The sequence below is a fragment of the Homo sapiens genome, chromosome 8 (assembly GCF_000001405.40).
Source record: "Homo sapiens chromosome 8, GRCh38.p14 Primary Assembly".
Taxonomy (NCBI): Eukaryota; Metazoa; Chordata; class Mammalia; order Primates; family Hominidae; genus Homo; species Homo sapiens.
In genome coordinates, this window is record NC_000008.11 from 88,077,369 (window position 1) to 88,103,576 (window position 26,208).

Here is a 26,208-nt window from a genome sequence, read left to right on the forward strand (position 1 = left end):
GCAAATTTTCCTTATAAGTGAGACATTCCCTGACCATGCTATCTAGAACTGAAGTTCCTCACTGCACTCACACAGGTCTGCTGGATCTCCTCACCTCCCTTTCCTGTTGTATTTTCCTTCACTGCATTTATAGTCATTTTATACAATACTTGTTTTACTAATTTATTGTTCATTCTCTCTCCACTAAATATATAAGCTCTCTGATGGCAAGAATGTCGGTCTTTTGTTTAGATACAGTCCCCTATTTCCAGAAAAGGACCTTACACATAATAGGTGCACAATAAATTTCTTTAAAGAAAACAAAATGTGAAGAGAAAAGAGCAAAGTAAAAGTAATGATCCTTTAGAAGACACTGTTTTAAAATTACATCTCAGTTTTTTTCCCTGTTGTAGTTAAGATGTTTTCTTACTGAAAAATTATAAAAGTTATGAAGGGGTCACACAAACATAAAAATTCTATTTGAAAAGGTATATGTTTAGCACATATTCTGCTTTCTAGAAAAGTATGATACTTAAAGGTCTTTGAACCATAAAGAAAAAAATACATTTGGTTTCACCCTTCTAAACAACATAAGTTTGGTTTTTGTTTTAGATGGGGAGGGAAAGAAAGATGAATAACCCTTATGGATCTCTAAATCTGCTATTTGTATGTTGCCTCAAGCTTCTTACCTCCTTCCTTCCTTCCTCCTTCCCTCTCTCCCTCCCTCTTTGTTTTCTTCTCTCTCCCTCTTCCTGTCTCTTTCTCCTCTCCCTCTCCTTCTCCCTCTCTTTCTTTGGTTTGGCCCTTATAGAAGGAGGTGGAAGGGGAAATAATAACCATAACTAGCCTATCTGCAAAGTCAAGTTGTGAAAAAAACAGTACTTATACATTACCAAACTGGAATTCCTACTTAAACACCAATATTTCACTTAAGATACAAGCACTTATGGTCTTACATGTAGATTTATTTTCCATGTAGCATAGAACCCAGACAGATCATTTAGTTCACAGAGATAAATTCACATAGTGTACACCATGGAGCAGTAACATACGGGGAAATTCTGTTTATTATTCTTTTATATCCTTTAAAATTCTGGCTCGTGATAGGCATATTTGTTTGCTGAGAACTATATGGAAAAGGCCTACTGTCTGAATATGAAATTATGATGTTAATGATCTACTATCAGTAGAAATTGCTGTTTTCAGGATCCTTTTAAAAAATGAATCAGCTGAGTCAGGAGAATTGCTTGAACCCAGGAGGCGGAGGCTGCAGTGGGCCGAGATTGTGCCACTGCACTCCGCCAGCCTGGGTGATAGAGAGAGACTCCGTCTCAGAAAAAAACAAAACAAAACAAAAAACAAAAAAACCTAATCAGTAGAACTGATCTACTTTTACTTCTCTTCTGATACACAGATTCATTTATTCATACCAACAACTTTCCATAAATCTACAAATGTGTCACATGTTCACACTGAACATTTCTAGCAGTCACCAGTTGTTCTTTGGGCCCTCCTCTGCCAAGCCACCTTGGTCCTGCTCTATCTAGTCTTCCTCCTTTCTGAAACAGCATCTCAAATCTCTTTATTTCTCACCATCACCACTGTCACCATCCGAGTCCAAGCTGCCACTGTATTTCACTGAGATGACTGCAATGCCAATGCAAAGCCTCTGCTTTGCCTCCTACTGCATCTAGAATGAAACTCAAACCTGGACTCCTGCCTCCAGCTCCTACGCAGCTCCCAGCAGTCTCTCTTGTGTTCATATTGCTCCAGTTATATCAGCTTCCTTTCAGCTGCTTGACAGAGGAAAGCTCTTTTCTTCCTTAAGACACCTTGCAGGCAGTTTGCCCTACAGTAGGCCCTCTGTTTCTGTGGTTTCGCTTTCCACAGTTTCAGTTACCTGTGGTCAACCCTAGTCCAAAAATAGATAAGTCCAGCATAATAAGGTATTTTGAGAGAGAGACCATATACGCAAAACTTTTATCACAGTATATTGTTGTAATTGTTCTATTTCATTATTGTTAATCTCGTACTGTGCCTACTTTATAAGTTAAACTTTATCATAGGTTTGTGTATGTATAGGTAAGAACATAGTGTATGGTCTGGTACTATCTGCAGTTTGAGGCATCCACTGGGGGTCCTGGAACATATCCTCCATGGGTAAGAGGGGACAACTGTACTTTAAATGTTCTTCCTTTTCCATCAATTTGAATCACAAATCATCCATTAATTCTCAGCTGAAATGTTATTCCGTAAAGAGGGCTTGGCTGCCCTCTGACTGAAATTACATAACACTATGCTATGATCTGAATGTTTGTGTCCCTTCAAATTCTTATGTTGAAATCCTAAGCCCCAAAGTATTAGGAGGTGGAGCCTTTGGGAATGATTATGTCTGGAAGGCAGAACCCAAATAAATGAGATTATTGCCCTTATAAAAGAGGCCCTAGAGAGCTGCACTGCCCCCTCCACTGTGTGAGAACACAGCTAACAGGTGCCATTTATGAAAAGTGGGTCCTCACCTTACATAGAATCAGCTGGTGCCTTGACCTTAGACTTCCCAGTCTCCAGAAATGTGAAGAGTAATTTTCTGCCATTTGCAAAGTGCCTAGTTTACGGTGTTCTGGTATAGCACATCCTGATGAACTAAGACATTCTTGTACTATCTCATGGTACTCTGCACTTTGACTTCACAGCACTTACACATATGTTACTGCATCATGGTATTTGTGACGTCATTTCTTCCACCTACTCCACTGTATGATATGCTCCACAAGAATGGGGCAGTGCGTATTTTCCTTATCGCTGGATTACCAGCATGGTGAACTGTGTCTGGTGTACTGCAGGAGTACAACACATTTACTAGACAGATCTCCCAATTTTTTTCACCAAACTGTCATAGGATGAGTATATATATCTGAGATTGTTCAAAACAAGGTAGCTGTTTAGTTTGAGTATTAACCCTATTTATTAAGATGACATTCTAACCAAGGGAAATCATTAGCTGTGGAAAAAATTAGAAAAACATTTATGTGTATAAATACACGTTTGCTCACAAGCAATCATGTGTTGTTTTATTTATTTATGTATATATTTATTTATTTATTTTGAGACAGAGTCTTGCTCTGTTGCCCAGGGTGGAGTGCAGTGGCATGATCTCGGCTCACTGCAACCTCCACCTCCCGGGTTCAAGCAATTTTCCTGAGTCAGCCTCCTGAGTAGCTGGAACTACAGGCATCTGCCACCACGCCCAGCTAATTTTTGTATTTTTAGTAGAGATGAGGTTTCACCACGTTGGCCAGGCTGGTCTTGAACTCCTGACCTCAAGTGATCCACCCACCTTGGCCTCCCAAAGTGCTGGGATTATAGGCGTGAGCCACCGCGCCTGGCCATGTGTTGTGTTTTGAAGGCTTCTGATGTGGGCGTGGAGAGTGTCTGGGGAAACTGGTGTTGAAAATTAAGCTGTTTCCTAAGAAAAAAATTGGGTATGCAACAATACCGAAAGAAAGACAAAAATGTGGCAGCTATATACATAATAAGGAGGAACGTGATTTATATGAATGCTTAAAAGGCAGAGAAAGAAATGGTGGTCTTGGTTTTCCATTCCGTGGTAGGCCTGCTTTGGTTCTACCTCTTTGCAAGCAGTATGAGATTTCAGAGGCACTCTGCTGGATGCTCTCCACTGTGGGGTAAACCTTGGTAGCGAGGCTCATCAGGCAGTCTCATAGGTGAGTGGAGTTTGGAAGGCAGCAGTGAACAGGTAGCTATGTACATCTGGGCAGAATGGAAGAGCCAGCAACGAACACTAAGCCTAAGACAGACGTCAAAAGGTTTACCAATTTCAGAACACTGCCCTTCTGAAGGGACAAGAAGAATAAATGGGGAGCTTCAGTTGGAGTTCAGGGGAGGAAAAGTGTACTTTGGAGAAAACTGCTATTAAATAGCTGTTACTTTCACCACTGAACTGACTCATTCTTTTAGTCATACTTCAAAAGCATGGAGAAAAAGCAAACTATCAGAATTTCTCAGAAAATTTCTTACTTAAAGTTTTTTAATAACACCCTATGTTAGACTCTATATCTCCCAATCACAGCCATAATTACTGCACTTATTGAAATAAAAATTGATGATGGTCTGGCTTGTGCCTGTAATCCCAGCTACTTGGGAGGCTGATGGAGGAGGATCACCTGAGCCTAGAAGTTCCATACCAGCCTGGGCAATACAGTGAGACCCCCATCTCTAAAAAGAATTAAAAGAAAAGATTGATGATGATGGCTAATACCAATGATTAGGTTAAATTTATGCATTTTTAGGGTATTTTATGTAAATATTTGAATGTCACCTAATATTTCCAACAATAAAATATATTTAATAGAAAGATAATACTTACATATATTGTAGTAAAAACAGTTTTTTTTATAAACAGCTCAAATTTTAAAATGTATTACTAGATTCTGTTGAAAAGGTGACAAAAGCATTTGTTGCTCAGAATGATGAAGTGAAAGGAACTCAGGAAGTTTAAGCTGTTGGATTTATAAGCATGTATACAGTAGCTGTTTTTCTTAAAAAACAACCATATTATATAAAAACATTGGTTGTGACCAATAAATTTGAAAAATAAATGTTTTCGAGAACCAACAAGGCTGCTAACAAAGTAAAAAGCTATGAAAACATGGAGAAAATATGTGTATCCCAGCTCACAAATGGTCAATTAATCTAATGTATAAAGAACTCTTAAAAATCAAGGAAACAAACCCCCAAACCTTATAGAAAAACCAGTAAAAGACGTGAACAGTTTATACAAACGCACACGCACACACAGACACACACACACACAGTTTATAAATGTAGGGAAAGATACTCAACTTCACTCATAAGTAAAATGCAAACTGAAACTATTTTGATATACCATACATTATCAGATTGCTTTGATCTCACGGCTTGTAGGAATGGGCATCCGTATTTATTTCTGGTAGGAGTGCAAAATGGCATGATGCCTGTGGAAATCAATATGGCAACATCTAATAGCATGACATACATATTTGTCTTTTGACCCAGTAATCTCTTCTCTGTCAATCCACTTCAAATTAAGATACAACCTCCCAAATAAAAAGATGCAATACATTACAAAATCATATGATATACTATAATAGAAGTAAATTTTTGCAAGGTTTCTCATTGTGATGTCATTTTTGATAGCAAATGTATTCTATCTTCTGTGTAAAAGAGGATGGGAAAATTTATCTATATTAACATTGTTTTATAGGCATAGCTATAAATATAGATAAAATATAGATATTGCTTATGTTGTCCTTACTAAACAGATAGCACAGAAACTAATATAAAAGTAGTTACTGAGTAATAAAAATGGGTGAAGCATACTAAAAGTGTGGAAATGCAGGACAGATTTCTCAGACTATGTGCATGTTTTATTTTTTTTTATTTTTATTAAATTTTGTGTCAGGTTGAATTGTTAAAAATAAAAAAAATTAAAATCAAAGGCAAAAAAAGCATGTGCTAAAAATAAATCCCTAAATTCATCTGTATAAGAAATTGGAAACATACCCACATGGAGAAAATAAATATATCATATGACTTTGGAACCCAGTACTCTGATTGTACATTAGTGGGAAATAGACCACAAAAGAAACTTCAAATAAATATTAATCTTCATTCAATAATTTTATGGTTAAAAGGATTTCTGGTATTATAAATTTAAAACTATTATAAGACAAAAGTTAATATGTTAATGTTATTAGAACAAAGAGTTTCAGAGTAAAAAAAGAGATATAAGTATGTTAATTAATGTTACATTTGGATTAGAAATTAGAATGAAAATAATTCATGATTTAAACACATACACAAACAGAATTTTCTAATTTTTTCTAAATTTTTAGGAAATTTTCACAATTTCTTAATTTTGTTGGCTCAAAAGACATAAAAGCCATAATATTCCAGTGATGGGTATTACATAGAGCACCTATTAGAAGGAATCAGGGCTTCTTGGAGAATAGTTGAGTCTGGGCTCAAGATAGGCTAATTACAAGGTAAGCCTGGAACAATTGCGACAAAGCAAGAAATTACTCAAGACTAATGGAAGCAAGCCAAAGCATGGGAGCAGCTTAAGCAAAGGGTAAATTTGGGATTAAAGTGGGAATCAAAAGGAAAAATGGCTGCAATTGGGTATAATATACAGAATGAATAAATTTAAGAGTTCGAGAGTAGTAATCATTACTATTGCAACTGGCTAGTGTAAAAACTCTTTTCACTGAAAATTGGTAATCAAAGGGAAAGAATTAACTATAAGAAAGAGTTAAACATCTGTGCTGCCTTTTTAGAAGAAAAAATGTAGTTCATCTCTAGTTCATGAGAGTTAGCTTTTTAGAGAAGAATGCCTAATGCAGAAGGGAAAACAGAAAGAGAAAAATCATTTTGCAACTCCCAATTAAATAACTGGTTCAAGCAAGAACCATCACTGAATTTGACTACATTCCATCTATTATTGAGAAAGAAGATATTTACCTATTACTAAAAAACAGCCTGCAAAGTAAGCAAAGAACAAAACAAAAATTTTCATGTTGTGGTAACTGCAGATTCACATGCAATTATAAGAAATAACACAAACAGATTCATTTTCCCTTCCCTACTTTTCCCCCAATGGTAACGCTTGCCTAACTACAGTACAATTTCAAAACCAGAAAAGTGAGAATGATCCCATTTACCAATGTTATTAAAATCTCACCAATTTTTCATGCACTTGTGTGTATATATGCTAATTTTAATAGCAAAAGTATACCTTTCCAAGGCAAAGTTATGTCAGTTGCCACCCTAAGCATCAAGGATTGCATCAGTGATAGTGGACATCTTGATATATGCTCATAATGTGATGCAACACAAATAGCTAGGCATTTGAAAATCACAAAGTCTATGATGTACAATCACGTAGAAGCAAAACTTGTTAGGCCAAGTTTTTGTTAGGCCAAATCTAATTGGGCCTTCAGACTTAACTTCTTCACATTTAAGAGAGGAATAACTTAAGACAAGCAATCAAACACATCCTAAAATGTGAGATAGTTTATAAGACTATAAACTTGGCTTGGTCTCAGCAAGAAGAAAAAGGAGGAAAAAAAAAGAAAAGAGGCTGGAAAAAAAAGAGCCCAATAAAAGATCTAAAAAGACATAGTCAAAAGCAACACATAGATAGTCATTGGATCCCGTATTTAAAGATGAAATTTCATGATACCTACAACTTTGTTTCGCCAAACACTTGCACATGTGTACTGCATTTGCATACATACATACACATGAAGAAAATATAAGCAAAACACTAATAGTTGTGAAATCTAAATATTAGGTGTGACCATGTTTATTCTTGCAACTTTTCTGTATTTGTGAAAAATTTCTTAGTAAAAAGTTAAAAAAATACTCATTAAAAATCTGGAAAATACATAGGTAACTACATTATGAAAAAATATTATTATGGAATCTTTGTAAATATTTGTGATGGGTAAATACTATTCTAACTAGTGAATGTAAGTTTATTAAACCTCCATTGACTAGCCATTTAGATTTGCTACTATAAAAAAGGCTGCAACCAACATCTTTGTTCATTAAAAAAGAAACAAAAATATGTTTTGTGGCATGTAACTAAGGGTAATATATGCTTCATTTGACTGTAACATATGTGGACTGGAAATGTAAGATCACATATTGTGATACCATGCAAACATTATAAATTCATTAATTTAATTTCACACTAAATTTTGTTCTCAGGTTTACTGTTTACAGATAATTGTAAAAGGTACTGTAGTGTTTAAAAAGAGAGCAAGGACATTTACACTTAATTAACTGTATTACTTTTTCAACATTGGAAAAGAAAAAGTAAAGTCATAACTTGAAGAAGAAAAACTATTAAGGGAGGCTTAATAGATGTGTCTGGCAAAGATAATGCCATTCTGGGAAGTTTTCAATATTTTATAACAAGAGCTGACACAAGCTGGTTTTTGGTATATAAATGTTAGGGGAAAACCTGTTCAAAGCAACCATTAGAATACACTTTTTCACTAAGACAGTCGTGAATGTCTGCAATGATTTTGCAGGCACGGTTTTCAGGGCTCATCACTTAAGATTGACCAGATGTAATTCTGTGAGAAATGATGCAGCAGTACATCTCAATAGGTCAAATCACTTTGGGTACTGCCAGTATTTTTGAAAAATGCTCAAAATGTAGACTTTATTATAGTAGAGGAAGGAAGTGAAATATTAACAAGTGATTCTTCTAAATAATTTCTAAATTCACAATTCTGAAATTTCCCTTAATGTCTTTATTTTCAAGGAAGAATGTCATAGTTACCATTTGGATTAAAAAATGTAAACTATTTTAATAAAATGTTTATTTGTGTTTCAAAAGAAAAGGGAGTTGATATATTCAGATTACTTTGTTTACTACTTGTGCTAAGTTTATGTGTTAACATTTATAGTCTAAAAATGTTAAATATTCACTTTTATATTAATTTATAGGGAAAAATCTCAACACTGAAGAGTTTAGTGATGTAGCAGATATGGACCCCCTTTTTATTAATTAGTATTCATTTTAAATTCTAACTTAGAGAATACTAACTTTAAAACTTAAAAATGCATACTCATTCATGAAGACAATAATATATTAATTTTTATCCAATTTCTATACATAAACAATAAATCATAAAAAAGTGTTGCTACACCAAAAATGTAGTTCAGCTCTAGCATAGAAAGAGCGAGCTGGGGAGTAAGTGAAAGATGGGTGTGTGCTGACACTCTTTTCTTTTTAGGTATTTATATCTTTTTCCTGTTTCTTCTTTAATCTACTCTTGTTCAGAAATCACTGGGGGATGGGTATGATGAAGAAAAGAACAATCACTAAAAAGTTTACCATCGATGTACTGCAGTTAGGGAAAGTAGTCACAAATTCCAGATAAGAATGCACCACACATTACTGCTGTATGATATTCTGATTTTTGTTCTCCTCCTTTGAGATCTGAAGATCGTATTAGCAAGGTGCTCTATTAAGTGTTGAAACATGTAAAAGGTTTTCTTCCTTCCATTGTACTAACAGTTCTGGATTCAAAAATATGAACTCTTTGAGAATGTATATTCAATCTACGGAGGAGGAGAGGCAGACAGCTAATTTCAAAATGCTGTGTAAAATGCTATTCTTGCTGTCTCTATAAAATGGGAACTACCCTTTAGTGAATATTATGAGCTGGGAAAACAGTGTATTATTAGCACACCTATCAAGAATTACCATCCTTTTATTTTCAAACTAAAGAAAGATGTCTTACATACAATAAAATCCAGGTTCTTGTTGAGTATAGGGCCATTTCTACCCAAGGTACATAGACAATGTATTCAATTTAGTTTTTTCACCACCCAAGCTAAAGTTGTCTCTTCAATCTCTTTCTATCAAAGCATCATGTTATATTTTCTTCACAATATCCATTGTTCTCTGAAATTACCTTGTTTATTTGTTCACTTGCTTTCCATCAGAGTATGTGCCTCATCTGTCTTATTAAAAGACTGTACCCCTTAACCCTGGAACAGTTCCCAGCACAATTTGTTGAATGAATGTTCAAAGATAGGGAGAGAAAAACAGAGACAGAGAGAGATCAGCAAATCTTTTGCTTGGCCAGGAATTTAGGAAAACTTGGTCAATATTCTGTTTAGGTGTCTTCACAGAAATTCTTAGGTGTCCTCCCAGAACTCCCAGAAACTCTTTCTTAGGCTCTCTTTCCTGCTCCTATAGTCCTAAACTGGCCTATAGTCCTAAATTAGCAAGCCTACTTAGATTATAAATCACTTAAATTATAATTTACATCCAATGGTCTAAGTAGGCTGGCCAATGTGCCAGTCATATGTATACTCTTTCCCATAAGCATCATCATCATACTTTGCTTTCTCTCTCTTTCTTTAAGGTACAATCTAGGCTTCACCTCCTCTGGGGATACTTACTTTAAACTATGCCTCCTATTCCCCCAAAGACTTCTTGCTTTTTAGCCGACTGTCCTGCTTATTCTCACAGCATACCTTAGTTCTCGTAATAGTGGCCAGTGTGCCATGGCATAGGCATGCTGAGTAGGGTGGGAAAAGGAGATGTTTCATGATATGACATAGGAAGAGGGAAAGGGTTGAGCTAGAGCTAGGGAGTATATTTTCAGCTTGGTCTTCAATCAGACATGTTCTTTCTCACCAGAATTCACCATACCACACGAGAGGAATTTCACTAGCCTGAAAGAACACAGAAAGTGGAGCAGGCCGTCAGCATTAGGAATATGATATTGAGGCCCAGTGCAGTGGCTCACTCCTGTAATTCCAGCACTTTGGGAGGCCAAGGCAGGAGAATCACTTGAGCCCAGGAGTTCAAGACCAGCTGGGACAACATAGTGAGATCCTGTCTCTACAAAAAACAAAAAAATAGCTGGGCATGGTGGTTGCATGCCTGAGGTCCCAGCTACTTGGAAGGCTGTGATGGGAGAATTGCTTAAACCTGGCAGGTTGAGGCTGCAGTGAGCCGTGATTGTGGTACTGCGCTACAGCCTAGGGTAACAGAGTGAGGTCCTGTCTCCAAAAAAACCAAACAAACAAAAAAATGTACATACATATATATCTATATCTATCTCTATATAAAAGAATGTGTATCTATATTATATATATAGATATATAGATATCTATTATATCTATATATAATAGATATCTATATATCTATATATAATAGATATCTGCTGACTGTAAGTACAGAAGACGTCTGACTGCGATCATGTACTAGACCCCAGTGAGTGTTCAGCTGAGCCTTCCCTGTATTCCTGACCCACAAAATGGTGAGCAAATGGTTGTGTTAAGCCCCTATAGATATATATAGATATCTATAGATATCTATATATAGAGAGACAGAGAGAGAGAAAAGAAATAGTCAATAGACTCTACTTAAAAGCCCTGAGCAAGTGTAGAGGCCTAAGTGGGAGGGAAGCAGGCAGGGGGGTTTGCCCAGGAGGGAATGTGCCATAGGGAAAGACTTTTTTTCTTTCAAAGGAACACAAAGTTACTTGTCAACAAATTAAGTGTTTGACTTAATCTGAATGAGACCAGGCTGAATGAGAGATTTGCTCCTAAGAGATAAGGGTAGACAGGGCAGAGAATTCCCAAGAAATTACAAAGCAAAACACCCCTGAAAGATTCCTAAGTGACTTTGTTTTGGAGTTCAGGAACAGCTGTTGCCATAACAGGGGAGACTAATCCTCATTACCATTACCTAATTGCTTTATGCTAATATGCTCTTGAAAGCATTCCTTTCGCTGTCCCTGTGTGGCTGTGGTTTATTTACTTAAATAAAGAGTTCAAAAGGTAACTGCCCTTCTTTACACTCAAGGTAAGTCCTCAACACACAACTTGCTGTGGAGTAAAATAGTGATCAAGTTCTAAGGCAGTCTTGAGGGAAGTCAGATGATCACAATCATTAACGAATGGAAAACACTGTGCTACTGGGTCATTTTTATGGGTTTTACCCATGAATTACTGTTGAATACAAAAGCAATTGGAGAAAGTTCTAAAAAATAAAAATAAGTCAGTAAGTTTCCTAATCATTCAGCAAAATAATGAAGCCTTGAACAATTATGTCGATGTGATCAAATAATTTTTGAAAATCATTCTGAGCAACTGGGAATCTAAAGACAAAAGATAAATAAAACAAAATTGGTGTATAAAATTTGAAACTTTGTGAATGTATACAAGCTGAACATAGTACCAGGTGTCATTTTGGCATAAAAGAGATGATATGTCTCTTTCACTAGGCTGGAAGATCCATACATTAAGAATAACTTGAGAAGCCTTTTAAGGCAAGGAAGGATGAAGTTGACTGGGCTTTCATAGAAAAACTTTACGGGTTTTTCTTAAAACCCTTAAAGGAAGTTAATACGTATCACACAAAAGGAAAGCACAAAATAATCTATGCTTCATAAGGCTGAAGATTATGGTGAACAGGAGGACATATCTTCTTGGTAAAAGGGGAAATAAGATTTGATGACCAGGAGGCATTCAGGTAGGATGTTGTGGGGATGCATGCTCCAAGAGGATAGAGTGGTAACTGAAGGGAAGGAATGGCAATTCTAAAAGCAACTACACAATGTGATATGAAATGGAAAGGCAACAGCTTGATGGGGCATCCAATGACATGATCATTGAAGTAGAATGTATATAAGAAAACAGGAAATGAGGGACTAAAAAGAAGAGGAAATGAAGTAATAATACATGGGGATTCAGAAGGGTCTGACAGGCTGTGCAGCATTGTGCTATGTCTAAGGGGAAGACGTTCACTTGGGGTTAGAAAAGAAAGCACTAGGGATTTCAGGAGGGAAGTCCACTACTGCAACAAGTAGAGAAAATAAAGCACTTGAGTTAGGTAGAGAAGTAAATGTTAAATAATAAAACACACCTCCCAGACTGAGATTGCTAAGTGAACAAAACCATACTGCAGATAATTAAAAAAAAATCAGATTAGGTTCCAAGCATTAAGAAAGAAAAGGTTAGATCATGAAACACATTTATATATGTGGAAAAATTCCTTTTTGCTCAATCACATGTATATTATGTTGGGAGATAACAGTGAAAAGTTCAAATGTAATTGAGAATATGTAATTTTCCCTGTATTCCTTCATGAGTAGTCAAAATAATGTGGAAGCGAGGAGAGGAAACAAGCTTATTTAGTTGAGCAAATTAATTTTTTCTCCCTGTCTTCTGCTTATATATGAAGGGAGAAATATATTCCAATTTTTTGCAAGGTTTTAGAATTTTTCAGTGTTTCTTGATTTTTATTGTGGGGTTGAGAAAGAAGTTACAATGGTAATTAGTTTTATAAACATCATGAATATAGATGAATCTTACTTTATGCCACACATCTAGTCCTGAAAACTTGGTTATTGATTATTGTGTAAAGCAAATACTATTTCAATTGAACTGAAAGGGAATAATATTTAAAGGAATGATATTAAAGGAATGAATCATTTTGCTTTAATTTTATAATTATTCTTCCTGTGGAAAATTAAAGAAAACTATTTTGTACTGAAACATTTTTAATGTTAGATATTTATGGCTCAAGTATTTTTGTGTTGAGCTACAATCAGACAGTTACTTTCTGAAAGGAAAACTGAGTCAGTGAGTTACGCACAAAATGAGTGAGTTGGTAATACCTGGTCCATCAAGTTCATCTTTCCTCTGATTGGTGCTCAAATGCATGACTAAAAATTGTCAATTCTTTGACAATTTTTAAAATTTTAATTAAAAAAATTACTTTAATATTACTGATTACAACTAAAGATGTGTCTACACAATATATATCTTAAAGAGCTTTACAAAATAGACATTGTTCCATTTAATTCCAAAGCTGAAGCTGAACAACGAAAACAAGTAAAGGTGGGCCTAGGTAATACTGAAATAGCTTTTGTGGTCTGGATATGTCTCATGTGATCCAATGTATAGAAAAATAACACTGTTACTATTATCCTCATGAATATAAGCATATATATTTGAGTTCAATTTGCCAAGCTACACTAATAAAAGTAGTCAATATTGTGTCTGGAAAATCCTGGAAGGGGGAAAGTCTTTTCTTTCTCTTTCCTATTGATCCTTCAAAATGCTTTTTTGACCTACAGTAACTTAATTTGGGGGCTTAGTGAACGTTATCTTCATAGCTGTTTTCTGAAGAGTGTTTTTAAGATTCAATCACCATAATTAAATCATCAATCATTAAACAGAAGTCACTCATATGATTAAAAAATCAGATTTTCTCCTACTCCCAAAGACCAATAAAGAATACAGATCATCTCCTGTTTTGCAATATTTTAACACTATCATTCATTCTTGTTGAATATTTTTTTCATATAAGACCAATAATACCTATTTTCCCCCAAAAGATCCCTGCAGATTTTTTCTTCCTTAGTCAGATTCTGTTATAACTATTTCTTACTAGTCAGATACAGTAGAAATTGTGACCGTGAGGACAAACACATTAAGGGAATGGAGGTTAATGCTCTTCCATTCAACAGCATTCTGTATATTGTTCTGGTTCATTTCTTCTGGGTATAGAGTGTTGCACCATTATCTCCTAAGCCACAGAGGAAGGAACAGTATTTTAGCGTATGCCACAGGAAAAACAAATGAAAAGGTGACTAATTCATTTACACACACAAACACACACACTCACACACACACAGGTTTAAGATATTCTCTTAATCAATGTATTTCCAATTAAGAGATAGATTCTAGTTTACCTCTTATTAGTAGTCCAAAGGTATAACTTAAATTTTTAAAAGAAGTAATCAATTAATACGTCCCCAAACACTGATAATTACTAAAAATTAATTCTCTAGATTTGTGCTGTCAATATGATAGCCACTAGCCATGTGTAGCTACTTAAATTTAAGTTAACTAAATCTAATTTAAAAATTACTTCCTTAGTTGCACTAGCCACACTTCAAGTGCTTAATAGCAGCCTTTTGACTTGTGGCTATCATACTGGGTAGCACGCAGAGTACCTTCATCATTGCAGCAAGCTCTATTGAATAGCCTTGCTCTAGAAAATAACATTTTAGCATTTGATCAATGTTATGATTTTTTTCTCATACTTAAGACTCCTGTATGGCTAAGAAAATAAATTCAAAAATGCAGCAGTGATCCAAGACTATGAGAAAATGTTGAGTGACATAATTCTAAGGCATTAGTGTTTCTAGAGTCAGTCTTCAGCCGAAACACTGTAACTACTGATAAAAAATTTGCAGTGTTTCTACAACTCTACTGGTGTAGTCAGCTGAAATGCTAATTGTGGTATCACAGTATCACAGGTATAGGCTCTATGGCTATAACTTCCAGAATTTTGTTTTTTCTTTTTAGAATCTGATGAAAAACGTTATTTAGCTACAGGTCTAATTGGAATGTTCTTTCCTTTTATCTTTGCATTGCTCGTTCCTTTATCTGTTTAAACCTCAGCTAAAATGTCACCACTTCAGAAAAGATCCTTCGGAAACTACAGTATCTTCCTTTCCACATATCTCAACTCTTAGCATCTATCACATTACCCTGTTTAATTTTCACCTTTGAATTTGTTAATGTCTCAAGTACTTATGTATATTTATGTGATTTTTGACTGTCCTTTCTTTCTCCCAAATAAAGCTCACCTTAGGAGAGGGATTTTGTGGTGCTCATTGTGGTATTCCCTGATACTAAAAGTCTGCCAGGCAAAGGCAGGCACCTTATAAATATTTATTGCATAAATAAATCAAAAAATGCATTAAATAAGAAATGAAGATTAAAGTTATTCAAAGCAGAAATGTGCTTTTTTGAAATATAAAGGCATTTTTAAATTAAAAAATACATTGACTTTTCTTTCCCAATTTGATCTTTGCCATTAATATTTACCAAGTTTTATATCGAGATATAGTAACTACAAAGTTTCATATTGTATGTGTAAGTATACCATCATGAAAGTTAAGTAAAAAGTTAGCCTTTAATGGATGAGACTGACCATCTGTATCTGTAACCCACTCAATTGGTAGTGAGTATCTCTTGGTGAAACTGGGATGCATGCAAATCTGTGGAAGAATAACAAAGGTATTTAATTCTTCTTAAATATTTCCAAATATTCTAAGGAAATCCAGTATAAACGGAGGTTTTGCAATGGGCAATGCAGACTGTTTATTGTTTAAGAAAAAAAGGATATAAAAAAGCAGATTTTGGTCAGGGGGACTTTAATACTACCCAGGGGACTGTATGTCCTGAAAACTTAACACATGTAACAATGTACAATATCAACTACATGCTAGCAAAACACTGGGAGTATCAGGCTATCAAAAAATGATTGCTCTAGGGATGCAATTAACATTGTCTAAGTGCTTCAGAAGCCGACTTTTGATTATAATGTGGCTTATAATGCAGAATCTTCTTGAGTATAATTAATTCATATTTTCTGTGAGAATTAAAATTCTCACTATAAATTGATAAGTTGCCACTTTGGCCCATCGATCAACCATAACCAGTCTTTTGTGATTTTTGTTTGTTCAGTGATTCCTTTTAAGCGCGAATCACTGAGACAGCCTGGTCCATAAACCTAAAGACTAGATCTTGATACACAGTGACCCTGAGTACTGAATGAACTGGCCAGCCACCTTCCTGGCTATGTTTAACATCTTAAAATAGAAAGCAATTCTGATTTACACTACCTTAATGTTGTTTGGTATCCAGATTTTAGCTGTTCTTTGTACTTCTTTATAAATAAAATTTTAAAATTAAGATAATAATTACATAAATGATGGATGATATTTTAAAATAACCCTCAAGCAGCATTTTTAATAGCACAGGAGGTCATTTTAGGCTTTACTTAGGTAGGTGAATTACAAATGCTGACATGTTATACCCTGTTTCAGGAGTGTCTGGGTTATGGTTGAACATCAAACACAATCTTAAATGATATTTTCCTCCCTTTATTTCTATGTATATACTAGCAATTTCAATGACACTATAAATGTTTCATGTTTGAAGAGTATAACTAGAGAATTTCAAGGAAACAATCTCTACATGCTATATCAGAATTGGCCCAACACCCACATTGAATTCTCACATTAATATGAAATGCCATAATATTTATTTAGTATAAGGCGGGTCTGTCTTGGGCTTAGACCAAGGCAGAGTGTATTACTGGAAATAACAGAAAGAACTCTTTATTTTACATATAACATAACTACATATTGTGAGTTCTTGGGAAAGTACGATAGTGTATTTTTAATGTGGGATAATTATATTCATTTCTTTTTTTCCAAACATGCTTTAGCCCTGAAATATTCTATGATGGTTTCTTCCATATAACCCAACAGAATCCTTAACAAGTAAGAGATAAATGTTAGATAACCATAGATTCCACTGATAAATATAACTACCAAAATTATATATAGACTAACTTATAAAGAAATTATAAATATTTGAAATTATTGATAGTAATTAGAAGAGTGATAAAAAGATTAACTAGTGATATTGTTCACTGATTTTCAAATTAACAACCTTTTTAACACTAAATAAGATGGGCTATTGCTTTATTTTTAAAACTGTTTACTGACCATAATTATAAACATGAAGTACACAAAAGAAACAGTATCTTTCTCCCTTGTGCTATGTTCTGTCTAGTCTTTAGTTTTTGTTGCAAAGATCTAGGGCTAAAAAAACTCTTTATATTTATAGTTTATAAAATATTTTATAAAATATTTATGATTTGCAATACGTAGCTATCAAGGAAATTCAAGAGGCAGATACACACCAGTAATACATCTCAAAAGAAGTTATGTCTGTTTTCTCCAGCCAAAAATTCAAAAATATAATTTCAAACTGAAATGTCAGTAGTAGGAAAATTTGTCCATTTTCTTTCCAGGTCTCATGAAAAACTGTTAGCCCCTTGTACTACAGTTAATAGGTTTTACTCTGTGTGTTATGTAAAGCCTGTCTATATGCCAACATGAAAAAGGCCTTTAAAGGGACGTCAGAGCTTCAGAAACTGCTTGTCAAAAGGATTTCAGTTTTCTTTCTTTGGCCTTCCTAACCACTTTCAAAGGCTTATTTCATTCACAGTAGTTTCCATATTATTAATGCATATAGCTTGCAACTGTAATTCAGGGTGGGCCACATGGTTACAAAATTATAGACAGAGTTGATTAGGTATAAAAATACAAGGCACCGCTCTACAGATTTTACAGTACATTAATATTTTACTACTGGCAATGCTTAGTGATATGGAGGAAAAGAAGTCAATAATTTGCTAAAAGACTTTTTTTTTTAAACCATCTATCAATGTTGCCTTGAAATTTGACTTAAATTTTTGCAAGTTTATTATAACTACAGGTAGACTGAAATGTGTGTGTGTTTTTGTTGTTGTTCTTTAATTTTTTTTTTCCACCAGCAACCTAAATAGAAATGGCATGTTAGAAAGTACTAAGAGTCCTGGATTCTGGTTTTGACTCCGATCTCTGACTTTGGTCTTCTATGCATTAGGGTAAGATGCATAACTCTCATGTCTTACTTCCCCATCCGTACCATGGGGAAAGGATATCTGAATGCCTCTTTCAGTTCAGGCACAAAGTTGTAGTAAAAATGGGGGAACTGACAAGTTTCCAACTCTGCTTATACCTATTAGAAAATTCACAAGGAGCACCTATTTTATTTATAGATATTTGAAAGATGAACAATACCACCTGATTCATTAGGGAATATTGTTTTGTAAAGTGAGTTTTTGCTCTCATAAATAATACGCTTCAAAACCAAGTACAGCTCTTCCACCTGAATCCATGCCTGATTATCTAATGAGCCTTTGACAATGTAAGAGTGTCCCTGACAGTACCTTCCTGAATAACCTCATCAAGTTATTTGCTGAGCATTCAAAAGACTTCCCAAATCACTGATTACGTAGAATGAATTCATTTAATAAATAACTATTTTCCACCTCCAAAAGCTAGGCGCTATGCTAGGCATTGGAAATGGAGTAGTGAATAAGAGAGTGTATAAGAAAGCCAACTGTAACTTGTTCAAACTTTAAGCTCAAAACTATATTTTACTATTTATACCTCACAAGATTCCTGAAATATTGGTAAAGGAAAAAAGTAGTGACAATGTTGTCTGTTTACACTGTTGTGCAATATTCATTGTACAGATCTACAATCCCTAATCCACAGTTCTAAAACCCAGAGAGCTTGAAAGAAGAACGTTGTTTATTGATTTTGGTACAAACTTATTTGGCAGACAATATGATATCAACGATGTGAGAATATTTTAGAGACTATACCAGTTGTTAATAATATTTATAAGTTTCATTGAAAGAATATTAATGGGTTTGATTATGAGTTATTTCCCTAGATCCTATGAGATTATTATGGAAGATATATTTTAAAACTGGCTGGCCTTCAGAGTTTTAGATAATATATCTTCAGACCTGTGATGATATTTTAATAACTAATTTTTTAAAACTTAAAAAGTCTTACTTGGATACATTGGCTAATCATAACTTCAGTGTCCCTATTTCAAATTTGAATGCTGATGGCAATGGCATTATTTTGAACAAAGTTGAGGACTGTATTTCCTGCTTCTAAAATTCTTCAAAGGATCACTGCCATTTTTTTTTGTCTTTCGTGTTTTAAAAATAAACAAGAGAAATACAACTACTTTGAAAACAAGAAATTTAGGTTCCTAGTCTTTCATCTGAGGCCTTAGGTATGTAATTTACTGTTGGACTGAGTGTTATGTCTAAAGCCAGTCCCTGTCAGGAAGATTGATTAGAAGTCTTCCCAACAGGCAATATGGGGACTGAAGGAATTTGTTAAATATGCAACCCTCATAGGAAAGTCACACCCTCTTCTGGCAAATATTATCTAAATATATAGCTATAGGAGGGTGTATTTTAATTTTTTAAAGGTTCCAGCCAGACTCATCCATGATTGGAAACGCGAGAAAACACCCTAACGTTATACATTCTAGCATTTAAAACACTGTAAGTGATCATATTTATTATATATCCTGTAGACAGATTTCTCTCAATCTCTAACATTTGAGGATATGGCTCTGTAGTGACAATTTCATTGAAAGAAAAGACATTCCTAGGGCAAAATCTGCTTTTCCACTGTAGGTTTTAGTTCTACCTCTGCACATGCACAGAATGGGCTCCTTCACGTGGCAGATTTTAAAATATTCGATGTCACCTGTAATATCCCTTTTATTGATCTCTATTGGAAAGTCCTTATAACTTTGGTAAGAGTTTTCATAAACTCAATTAGGGAAAATGTTTTATGATTTCAGTTTAAATTTAAGTTATCTGTAAGAAAAACTATTTTTTTTGGTTGAACCAGGATATTAACTATATTGATCCTCAGTATATAATTTGCCAAGGATCTTTTCTATGTACAGATTCATGCTGCTTAAACATTCTATTAAGAATGGAGGCTAGGTGCAGTGGCTCATGCCTCTAATCCCCAAATACTAACTTTGGGAGGCTGAGGTGATCAGATGACTTGTGCCCAGGAGTTCGGGAGCAGCTTAGACAACATGGCAAAACACTGTCTCTACAAAAAATACAAAAATTAGCCGAGTGTCAGGGTATATGCCTGTAGTCTTGGTTACTTGGTAGACTCAGGTGGGAGGGTCACTTGAGCCTGGGACGTGGAGATTGCAGTGAGCCATGATCACACCACTGCACTCCAACCTGAGAGCCAGAGCAAAACCCTGTCTCAAAAAAAAAAAAAAAAAAAAAAGAATGAAAACATCAAAAGAATGGGACTTGGGATGCAGGACCTCCCCATCAACCCAGCCTTCCAACCTGCAAATGAAAATCAATTATGACAAAGTTCATAATTCAGTTTGTTAAAGAATTACAATTCAGTTTGTTAAAGATTGAAGGAGGCCTTAATAGTTATACTTAATTTTTCAAAGAATAAATTTTACTAAAAAATGTGTCACTGAGTTGAAGAAATTTGAGGAATTTGGATAATGGAATTACCTGGAGTTAGACAAACTGTGAGCTTAAGGGCACACTACTCCAGATTGCCAGGTCCTGCCCAAGACTTTTGACACCAACGGCGAGGAGTCAGGGTCCAACTAGAGTCAGAGGGAAGAGTCCACACAAGGACACCCTCACTCTGACACCAACTGCAAGTTTGAGAGATTCCTGAAATTCAGACTTGATAATTTCCTGGAATGACCCAAAGAACTCACTGAAAACTATTATGCTCATCGATATGTTTTATTACAGGGAAAGGGTACAGATAAAATATCAGCAAAAGGGACAGACACATTGGACTAAGTGTGAGAAGCTTCCATTGTCCTCAGGATGTATTACTACACTAGTATCAATGTTTGATGACATCCATGGGCTACTGCCAACTATGGGTGCTCATCTGAGTTTCAGTGTCCAGAGTTTTTATTGAGTATTCATTATGTAGGCAGGATTGATTGACTGGTTGCCCACATGGGTGGGCTCAGCGTCTAGGTCTACTTATACCATGTGAATCACTTTAAATCACATGGTTGGTATTTCTGGTGTGGCCAGTCCCTACCCTATGATCCAGTGTCATCAGCCCCTTCCCTAAACAAACAGACTGTATCAAGTATGACATAGGTTAACTCCACATATCAGAGGGCAAAAGCTAGGCTTCCTTTAGGGCATGGCCAATTCTTTATAACATAACAAATACTTATTTCAAGAGTAAATATTACTACTACAGATTAAAGGAATAAATGAAACTAATTACACAGTTGGAAATTCATAACATTCATTGACTTTTAAGAAGAGAAAAAGCAAAGTAGAAAACAACTTCATTGTCTATTGTGAACACCCGGCTCTCATCTGACACCTATCAAAGAAAATACAAGTATAATATTATGAAAATTAATTTTGTAAGTATGTAAGAAAAGCCAAAAGAAGTATAAAAGCCTGTATGTAAACAAAATTATGGCTAAACTTGCAAAAATTTTTATATGTTGATAAAACTATATGATCACTATTTTGTTCCCATTCTATGAATGATACATATGTAGATTTTTTTACACTGAGTTATTTGCCTAAACTGCCATAATTATAGCAAAATAAATTTTCCTATATTATGATAAAACCATTTTTTTCCTTAGAAATAAGTGATAAGTTGAAATAAGTGATATATGTATAAGGAATTATTTTTAGAAAATCTAACATATAGATTCAAATTTTATGTACATGTTCTAAATTTCATATATTCAAATTCTATGTACGTTCTAAAAAGAATATAAGAATTTTTTTATATTATGAAAAACAGAATTATTTAAATAAAAGCCAAAGAGATTGGGGAAAATGGGAAACATTTTAAAATTTTTACTAAAATTTTATTTCCCAGCCTTGATTAAAATTTGTCATATTTTTCAGGTCCCATATCACTTCTGATAATTATTTTTAAACTTTACAGTCTAGAACCTTTTGGTTTTTAAGACAGCTGAAGTCTCTAATATAATATATAGTGACTTAATACAATTTAAAACTATAAAAGTGACATAAAAGTATCATACATTTCAAAAAATTCGTCCTAAAATGTATACCAATGATGACAATGTCTAACATCAGTTCAGCTATTTTGAAACATTTAAAATGCTTTAAATATCTTGCCTCATGATGAGATGGGTAGCACAACTATTATTATTTTCCTTATTTGACTAGAAATTTATAGTCCAATAACTGAAATTCTCATCAAGGTAAAACAGTCTGGATCTAAAAGCCACGTATCCTGACTTTTAGTCCAGATTTTTTCCCCTGTAATATGTTGTTTCTCTTATTTAAAAAAACAAAAAACAAAAAACAGGGATACCTCATTAGTTAAAGTATCTCTTCCTCAGAAAAGCATTTCCCGATTTTAATGACCATGTTTTAAAAATGAAAATGAAACAATTTATATGCTCTTGTTATACCTCCTGCCTTCTTTACTTTGCATTTTATATAGGTAGAATTTTATTTGTCTTCTGATTAGTTGATTAATGTCTATTTGCCACACTGGACTGTAAGCTCTTTAGGGCAGTGGTACTGAGTGGTACTGAGGCAGCTACAAAGATTCTCCTCATACAGAATATCAGCCCTTTGTCAGATGAGTAGATTGCAAAAATTTTCTCCCATTCTGTAGGTTGCCTGTTCACTCTGATGGTAGTTTCTTCTGCTGTGCAGAAGCTCTTTAGTTTAATTAGATCCCATTTGTCAATTTTGGCTTTTGTTGCCATTGCTTTTGGTGTTTTAGACATGAAGTCCTTAGCCATGCCTATGTCCTGAATGGTATTGCCTAGGTTTTCTTCTAGGGTTTATATAGCTTTAGGTCTAACATTTAAGTCTTTAATATCCAGAATCTACAAAGAACTCACACAAATTTACAAGAAAAAAACAAACAACCCCATCAAAAAGTGGGCAAAGGATATGAACAGATGACTCTCAAAAGAACACACCTATGCAGCCAACAGACACATGAAAAAATGCTCATCATCACTGGTCATCAGAGAAATGCAAATCAAAACCACAATGAGATACCATCTCACACCAGTTAGAATGGCGATCATTAAAAAGTCAGGAAACAACAGGTGCTGGAGAGGATATAGAGAAATAGAAACACTTTTACACTGTTGATGGGACTGTAAACTAGTTCAACCATTGTGGAAGACAGTGTGGTGATTCCTCAAGGATCTAGAAACAGAAACACCATTTTACCCAGCCATCCCATTACTGGGTATATACCCAAAGGATTATAAATCATGCTGCTATAAAGACACCTGCACATGTATGTTTATTGTGGCACTATTCACAATAGCAAAGACTTGGAACCAACCCGAATGTCCATCAATGATAGACTGGATTAAGAAAATGTGGCACATATACACCATGGAATACTATGCAGCCATAAAGAAGGATGAGTTCATGTCCTTTGTAGGGACATGGATGAAGCTGGAAAGTATCATTCTCAGCAAACTATTGCAAGAACAAAAAACCAAACACCGCATGTTCTCACTCATAGGTGGGAATTGAACCATGAGAACACTTGGACACAGGAAGGGGAACATCACACACCGGGGCCTGTTGTGGGGTGAGGGGAGGGGGGAGGGATAGCATTAGGGGATATACCTAACGATGACAAGTTAATGGGTGCAACACACCAACATGGCACATGTATACAAATGTAACAAACCTGCACGTTGTGCACATGTACCCTAGAACTTAAAGTATAATTTAAAAAATAAAATAAAAATTAAAAAAAGATTCTCATTATACAGATGAAAAAACTCAGGCTCAACAGTGGAGTCATACAGGTGTCCTAAACCTAGGCTTTTCTGCTTTTACCATAAGGTAGTATATTTTCTTAAACACCACAGGTCCTCAATACAGATTCATAAAATAAATAGATACATTGAATATGACTATACATCAGAAACTACATTCCTCCACATACTAATTATAATGTTACATGAAAAAGTTTCAGGAATCAATAAACTTCAGCATTTCTAATAGTAACTGCAAATGCAGCTGCTTGGAAAAGGCTATCTCTATTCAAGAGATTTCAGGATTATGAATAAGGAGGTTTATGTGTCAATGGCACATGAATGGCCAGCTCTTATATCAGCTCCTTTGGGCTTCAGCTCAAGGATATCAAGTCTTTGCCTAATGACCTGACCAGTTAACTGCTACAAATAACTACACTTCACTGGTAAGCACCGCAGCCCAAAGAATGCAGAGACTCAGCAACCACTCTAGGTGAGGGGCAAAGAGCCTTGGTTTAACAATAGCTCCATTTAATTCTCCATAAAAATGCTTGCTGCCCTTTGATTGGACAGATTAAGAATATGATGTACCATTCTTTTGAGTCAAGTTTCAGTAAATAATATTTGTACAAAGAAAAGGAAAACATTATAGCTTCTTTTTACAGAAGTCCCTATATTCTAGTATTTCTCATCCAGTTCCAGATAGGACATATCCCTGCTATCTGGCTGTCTCTGATTCTCTTCATAATTTGAACTCCCTCTGACATTTGAAGATGAGCCTCATTAAAAACATCCAGTCTTGGCTTCCTGTGATTCAGTGTCTAGTCACTCATTCATAGTGTTACAATTCTTAGAGCTGCTCTTTTGTCCTTATGAGAAAAGACTGAAACTGTTTTTCTTCTGCTCTCATATCAACACAACAGTCAACATGGACTGTGTTTTCTGTGACCCCAAAATATGTGGAGCTTTGTCCCTACCAGCAAGTGTGTGATCAATTCTGCAGTGGATATCAGCTGAGTGTCCTTCAATCCAAGGTTGGGGACTAAGTCCCCAAAACTGCCTCCCTCCCTCTTCAGACAAGCAGTGGCAACTCTGGACCCACAGAACTTCTGACCAACTGGCCTCAAGTTAGGTCTCAACTATCCGATCCCCTTTGGGTTTGATTAATTTACAGATGTGTCACACAGAACTCAGAGAAACACATACATTTACCAGTTTATTACAAAGGATATGACAAAGATGAGGAGTGCACAGACTGAGGTATGGGGGGAGTGGGGCAGAGCTTCTATTTCCTCCCTGGGCATGCCACCCTTCAGGAACCTCCATGTGTTCTGCTATTTAGAAGCTCTCCAAACCCTGTCCATTTTGGTTTTTATGGTGGCTTCATTATGTAAGCATGATTGATTCAACCACTGGCCATGAAATTAACCTTCAGTCCCTCTCCCCTCCCCTGAGGTTAAGGAGTGGGGTTGAAAGTCTTAACCCTCTACTCTTGTCTCCCTCTTTCCAGTGGCCAGCCCCCATCCTGAAACTACCTAGGTAGGGGCTGCCAGCTGTCAGTCAACTCATTCGCATAAAAAAAGATATCACTTTGAAGACTCCAAGGCGTTTAAAAATTGTATGTCAGGGTCCAAGACCAAATATATATTTTATAATACCATAGTCCACTTGCCCAAATCTCTTTTTTGCTAGTTGTCTTCACTCTTGCCTTTTGGGAATGGGACTCTTCTTACCAGTTCCACCCCCAGTAACTGTCTTTTGCTCAACACTTCTCATTAGCTCGGTCCCCTACATTCTGTTCCCACCAAGTCATTCTTAGTCTATTCTGTTGGCCAGTTAACCTGGCCAGTGGAATAAAGCTTCAAGTTCCCAACATGGCATATAATATTCTTTATGAAGCAGCTCTGTTTGAGACTTTCCATCTTCATTTCTCAATCTCCTTGCCTTGATTTCTATAGTAAGCTACATTCCTTTCCCAGTGCACCATATCCCTTCGTACCTCCAGTCCTGGCTAACTTTACACCCGCACATGCAGATTATATCCCTTCACAAAAACTCTTTCCCGATATATGTGGTCCTCCTAAGTGCTCCCACTGTACTTTGTACATTCGTGTATTACAGAACATAACAATGCATTGTGATGATCTAGTTACTGGTACTTTGCTAAACTATTTTCTTCCTGAGGGAAAGAATAAGAGTGGCTTGGTCATCATTTTATTCCTAATGTCTAGCTACTACTTGGTAGCTGGATAAAACTTCCTTAATTTAAAGAATAAAAGCGAATGAATAAAAGATTACAGTAGTTATAAGCTTCCTGAGAGTAAGGAACGTTGTCATAGACTCCTTTGCAATCACTTTCAGGTCAATATAGTGCTTTGCACAATACTAATAGTAGTAGTAATAATAACACAACCATCATCAACT

General features: G+C 35.3%; 1 protein-coding gene across 2 annotated transcripts in view, besides 1 other annotated feature; it reads right to left on the reverse strand.

The window, feature by feature from the left end:
- The window catches only part of MMP16 (matrix metallopeptidase 16), a 295,473-nt gene that overhangs the window by 45,358 nt on the left and 223,907 nt on the right, over nucleotides 1–26,208 (reverse strand). The window lies entirely within an intron of this gene.
- Nucleotides 10,830–11,538: an enhancer, noted in NCBI's record as "OCT4-NANOG hESC enhancer chr8:89100426-89101134 (GRCh37/hg19 assembly coordinates)". NCBI's record gives its function as "activates a minimal SCP1, AML or CMV promoter by ChIP-STARR-seq in naive H9 embryonic stem cells {active_cell/tissue: H9 hESC(naive)}" and the evidence as "EXISTENCE:reporter gene assay evidence [ECO:0000049][PMID:30033119]".